This window comes from Homo sapiens, chromosome 1 (genome assembly GCF_000001405.40).
Source record: "Homo sapiens chromosome 1, GRCh38.p14 Primary Assembly".
In the NCBI taxonomy this organism is placed as follows: domain Eukaryota; kingdom Metazoa; phylum Chordata; class Mammalia; order Primates; family Hominidae; genus Homo; species Homo sapiens.
This window is the reverse complement of record NC_000001.11, coordinates 96415199-96421661: the sequence shown is the minus strand read 5'-3', so window position 1 is coordinate 96421661 and position 6463 is coordinate 96415199. Positions and strand designations below refer to the sequence as shown.

Genomic DNA, 6463 nt, shown 5'->3' with positions numbered 1-6463 from the left:
TGCAATGGCGCAATCTCAGCTCACTTCAACCTCTGCCTCCGGGGTTCAAGCGATTCTCCTGCCTCAGCCTCCTGAGTAGCTGGGGATACAGGCATGCACCATCGTACCCGGGTAATTTTGTATTTTTAGTAGAGATGGGGTTTCTCCATGTTGGTCAGGCTGGTCTTGAACTCCCAACCTCAAGTGATCCACCTGCCTCGGCGTGAGCCACCGTGCCCAGCCGAAGTATTCTTTTTATTATTACAAGCCATTCATTAATTGCCCTCTGTAGAGCAATGACTCAGATAAATGCCTTATGACTTTTAATAATGTAACTTACATATAAATTAAATCTAAGTGCAGGGAGTTTTTAATGATTCCCAGATTCAAGAGAGTGCTGTTAATCTGATTATGAATTTTGAATGTTTGTGCTCCTATATTTTAGGATATTTCATCTTACTTTCTTCTCTTTAAGCCATAAGATGTACCAAAATTATTTCATTTTCCCCTACATTCCTTTGTTTCATTTAGTTTACTTCATGGTATTTGTATGTAGAGAGAGAGGTATGTTAAAATATTGTTATAAAAAACTCAATTACTGTATAGTATAGCATTGTTAATCTTTGACCCAGTACATTAATTCCTTTGGTGAATAAATGTCACCAGTCATTTCTTTATAAAAGCATTTCGGTAAGAGGACCAGCAATATGGAGAGAGATTTCTCTCTAACCCCCGGAAAAAGATCAGGTCAAACAGTAGTGTAGAGCAGTTATGTAAAATATGAAAATACATAATTTGCAGCTGCAATTTTTCATATTAAAAGCATTTTAAAACTATGAGAAATTCAAAGACTTTCTGTCTTGGTTAAACAGGCCAGCTAATAAAACTGACAGAGATACTGTGAGAATTTATGTATATCTAGTCAAGATAGAGCAAAAATGTTATAATTTTTTAAAAGTGGCAATTGTTAACTAGCAGTATATAAACAGTGTCCACAATTTGGTGGTTGGCCACGGCTTTATTTTTTTTCAAGTTATTTCTATAGCAGACATATTTTTGAAGTCTACCCACCCATGAGTTCAGCAATTATACTTTTAGAGTGTAAAATTATATGCCCTTAATTAACAACACATACAAAGCTACAAAATGTCATCTATACAGATTAAAAACAATTTTAAAGTATTATTTACCAATTATTGATTGAATGGTTTTACTGGGGTACATATTTCAAATGTTTCAGCCAGCTGGCTTTTAGTTTTAAGCCCAAATTGATTCATAAATTCACTGCAGGGTATTTCAAAAAGAGTGCAACAATAAGGCATGAGTAAAAATAACATTGTAGTAGGAACAGATTTTGCATATGTGAAAAGGTAATTTACAAAAATACATGAATCACTTTTTAAAAAGAACTTAGTTGTAGTATTATTAACTCACATGGTACTGAGAATCGGACCTTTCAACAGTTTTTTTTCTATAGCAAATTTTATCTAGCTGTAAGCAAAGTCTTTTCAACAACAACAAAACAAAACACTCCAGGAAAACCTATATGGCTGTGTGAGACAAATAAGCAAACATACCATTTGATAGCGATTTTTGCCTAAATTTTAAAATAAAAATGTCCACACTCTTTCATTAAAACATTAAGCCTCTGTCAAAAATGTATTTCTTATTTTTGGGTACAGGATTAAAGGATAAGATGATACTTACAAGTAAAGAAAGTTTACAAGACAAAACTTAACAAAAGTTTTTCAATAAAAGTATTTTAACATTCAAACTTGACTTATAACAAAAGAAACAAGATTGCAAACAAAAATGTTTATGCATTTTCCAAACATAAATAAATGAAATAGTGTTTAGGCAGTAGGGCTCATGCTGACGGCTAGCAGGAAGTTAACAAAGTGTAACCTACTTGGAAAAAAATCTTTAATGTACAAATAACAAGGCCAAATTATGGACTGCACTAATTTATCATCACTGCCATTTTTCTTACTTCCAAAATAAAGCCTTGATTAAACCATTCATACCCTATATTACTCATACCTTTACTTCAGAGATTGAGGAACTATATACAACAAATGAATTTATTTTCACCATAGGGATAACATAGTGTACCTCTCTGCCAGTGTTACTTGAAAATCTTCCATGTCAACTTGACAGCAGATATAAACTATTAAATAAATAAGCAGTGATCTTTCATTACAGTCCTTTAAAGATGCATGATTATTCATGCTGTTAACCTTAGGATCACAGTGCACAGAATCCAAATATAAACAGTTGGGGAGGCTTTTAGAGTAATGTTGGATCCCTCACTTTATTTATATTCCCACTGTAACTGATAAGTTCATTTCATAGGCCCTATCATGCATTAATCCTTGAGTGGCAGGAGTTAATGAAAATTGTTCCTGTTACAACGTCCATTGCCGGCAATAAACGTACCAAAACCGCCAAGGAAGTCATTGTTATTGCACAATACGTGAGGACCTGGAGCTTTTCCAAAAGCTTAAAAAATAAAAATAAAAATGGAATTATATTTGACATTCCCTGACACCTGGATTAATACTGTATGACTAATAAAAGCATGTCAGTTGCCTGGACTGAATCAGCGATCAAAATGTGCCCAGAATGCACACAAGTAAAAATGCAGTAAAAGGATGTAGTCTTCATTGCCTATAGGTCACTTCCAGTCAAAGACTGAATGATCAAAGTGCTCATTTTCTCAATAGGACTATCTTCTGTAGGAGGATCATAACAGTGGCATCAACAAGCGTCTTCATGATACCACCATTTTGTTTTCTTTGGATTCTTGTTACGTGTTCGCACATAAAAAGAATTATCTGGTGGTCGTCTCTTTTCTTTGCAGCTGGAAAGCATGCTAATAATGCTAAGACAAACTGATTGGACGGAGAGCGCTGGGAACCAGTCTTCTGTTAGAATGGATAAACAGGTATGACCATTGCTATAATCATGAGGATGAACAGGAATATTTTCACTGGTAAACATGACTGTGTAATTGAATTTTGAACAGTCTTTTCATTTAAAGTCATCCCAGGAGGTGGGTCATTTTGCAAAGCCAACAATTATTTCTGTAGTCATTGAGACTGAAATAATTCTTCACCAACAACAGAAACGCAACACTTTGGCGTAACATACCTCAGTCTAGAAATAAAAGATATTGGTCTGAAAAGAAAATTATACTGCCTTTTTTTTTGAGACGGAGTCTCACCCTGTTGCCTAGGCTGGAGTGCAATGGCATGATTCATTGCAACCTCTGCCTCCCAGGTTCAAACGATTCTCCTGCCTCAGCCTCCCGAGTAGCTGGGACTACAGGCACACACCACCACGCCCGGCTAATTTTTTGTATCTTTAGTAGAGACAAGGTTTCACCATGTTGGCCAGGCTGTTCTCGAACTCCTAACCTCGTGATCCGCCCACCTCGGCCTCCCAAAGTGCTGGGATTACAGTGCCCGGCCTTAGATTTAAAATTTAATGCAGGAATAGAAAACCAAATGCTGCATGTTCTCCCTTATAAGCGGGAGATCAACAGTGAATACACACGGACATAAAGATGGAAACAATGCTGGAGCCTTCTAGCGGGGAAGGCAGAGAGAGGAGCAAGGATCAAAAAACCACCTATCAGGTACTATGCTCGCTACCTGGGTGACGGGATCATTTGTATTACAAACTTCAGTGACATGCAATTTATCCATGTAGCAAACATGTACATGTACCCTCTGAAATGAAAAAGTTGAGAAAAAATATTTATGATTTAAGGCCAACTGGGGGCCAGAGTTGAGGGTGACTAGTAAATGTCTGCTAATTATGGCCTCTCTAAGCTTAACCATATATACAAATGACACTGTGTTGGTAAAGTATTGATTTGGAAAATAAAGTGAGTCATAGGTAAAATGAATTTAAAATGATAGCCCCAAATGAAATAATATTATGGAAAGCAATTCCATAAATCTAGCTTGTTCAATACTTTATAATGTGAAATAGAATACTTAAAACAGCCACAGTCTTTGATACAATCAAATAACCAACAAATTCTGCCAATTTGGGCTTCCTAAAATTCTCCTGGGGGCCAAAATCATCCATTTTGTATGGTCATGTAGCTATACAGTTAATGCCAAAGATCTGGGGCTTTTTTCCTGCAATTTTTTACTTTTGGTGACTGAAAGGAAATGCCACTCACTACTCTTTGCAAAAGGAAGATTTTCATGGATATCTTGCTCTTTATGATTTCAAGAAGCAGATAAATATTCTTCACGAACTGTTTTAATGATATAGCAATCCAGAATAAAGATTTGGTATCACAAAGAAGTGATTCTATTCTAAAATTTCATTTTGAATTTTCTGGTCACAGTGTTGTAGGGAGGCATGGTTAAGTATTAAAATGAAGCACTTGCTTAAACCAAAGGGGATTTCCTAATCAGAAGTGAAAGCCTCCTGATACTCTGCTGCAGGCGTGTGATACTGCAGCCCTTCTCTAAGTGCATATCTCACATTCAAAGTCATTTCTCCATGCCTGTCAAGTGAACTGAACCCCCTGATTGTCTGTCTAGGACAGGGATCCATTTCTAATGTATGAGGCTACAGTTTTTGAACTCATAAACTGTAAACTGTATTAAATAAACTGTCTCCTGATTGATGAGTGCTGCTCTTATAGGCTAATTTCTCATCTAAACAGTGATATGAAAATTCTTGCTAAAGGGTTGGTGACAGGACTAAACGGGGGTAATAGCAGACTTAATCAAGAAAGACAAATGGGATTCATTAACAACTGGCACTCAGCAGACAGTCTTCAGAGACTTCTCAGCACAATCTCATTGGTCCAATCGAAAATAATTGTGTGCTGCTTTTATCACTGAATGCAGAACAAGGCCAATGAAAAATTCTATTGCTGATATTAAGTAGAATTCAAATTCGGATTGAATTTTGTGCCAGGCAGCCCATCTCTGGATGAGAGGAATGGAGGGGGAAAAATCGTGGCTTTCATGCTGGGATTTTTTTTCTCTGATTGATCAGTTTTCCCATATTGCTCATTCCACTCCGGTATCTTAATCAACTGGATCTTGCCCTAACTGGCAGGGATGTCTATGCCAGAGGCATCTGGTCTCTGGCTGGCTTAAGAATTGGCACATGGTTTATTTTGTCCAAGCTTGCTGAGCTCCACTTCCAGTAATGCCTGTCTTATTGAGCTGTTTAGATTTGGCTTGTGCGGTAGAGATGACTAACTCTCTACCAGAGCATGCTCCCCTTCCGCAGTACAGAGATTTTCCTAGGAAGTTCCTTCTAAATCAGGATCTATGTTTCCCAGTCCCCCTGCATTTACGTGAGGGAAGTGTGACTAAGTTGTTGCCAGTGGTTTCCAGGCCAAAGAAATGCGTGCCATTTCCAGACCTGTCATGTAATACTTTCACACTTAGTCTTTCACCCTCTATTTTTCCGATCTGTCAGCCAGAATTAGAGGATCCAGCAGATCCAAGCCACTTGTAAGTGATGAAGCCACAGACAGAAGGAACATGAGTCATATGTGGGAAGAGTAGTGGATTTTACATGAAGGAGAAATAGTTCTCACGTTACACCACTGAGAATTAGGGGTTTATTTGTTGTGGCATCTAACTTTACTTTGATTGAGGCAGCTAGTTTTAGGTCTGCCTTTAGGCCTATTGGCTTTGGTGACCTTACTTCTTTTTTTTCTTTTTTTCTTTTTTTTTTTTTCCCGGAGTCTTGCTCTTGTCACCCAGGCTAGAGTGCAATGGCAAGATCTCAGCTCACTGTAGCCTCCGCCTCCTGGGTTCAAGCGACTCTTCTGCCTCAGCCTCCCGAGTAGCTGGGATTACGGGCACCCGCCACTAAGCCCAGCTAATTTTTCTATTTTTAGTAGAGACAGGGTTTCACCATGTTGGTCAGGCTGGTCTTGAACTGCTGACCACGTGACCCGCCCGCCCTGGCCTCCCAAAGTGCTGGGATTACAGCTGTGAGCCACCGCGCCCGGCCATGACCTTACTTCTTCTTCTTCTTCTATTTTTTTTTTTTTTGAGACAGAGTTTCGCTCTGTTGCCCAGGCTGGAGTGCAGTGGTGCGATCTCGGCTCACTGCAAGCTCCACCTCCTGGGTTCAGGCCATTCTCCTGCCTCAGCCTCCAGAGTAGCTGGGACTACAGGTGCCTACCACCATGCCTGGCTAATTTTTTGTATTTTTAGTAGAGATGGGGTTTCACCATGTTAGCCAGGATGGTCTGGATCTCCTGACCTCGTGATCCGCCCACCTTGGCCTCCCAAAGTGCTGGGATTACAGGGGTGAGCCACTGCGCCCAGCCCTTACTTCTTAACTGACCTCCTTAGCTTTTGATTTTGTGTACAGTTGGGCTTTAAGGCATGTGTACCCTTCTGGCTTGGGCTTGTGAACTCTAAGCTCCATTTTTGGATGAGGATTTCCCATTGGCCTGCTTCCCCCCTAGAGCCCATTCTCAGGTACCCAG

The 6463-nt window shown here is 39.1% G+C and overlaps 1 pseudogene; it reads right to left on the bottom strand.

The window, feature by feature from the left end:
• On the bottom strand, positions 2749 to 3073 carry UBE2WP1 (ubiquitin conjugating enzyme E2 W pseudogene 1; annotated as a pseudogene).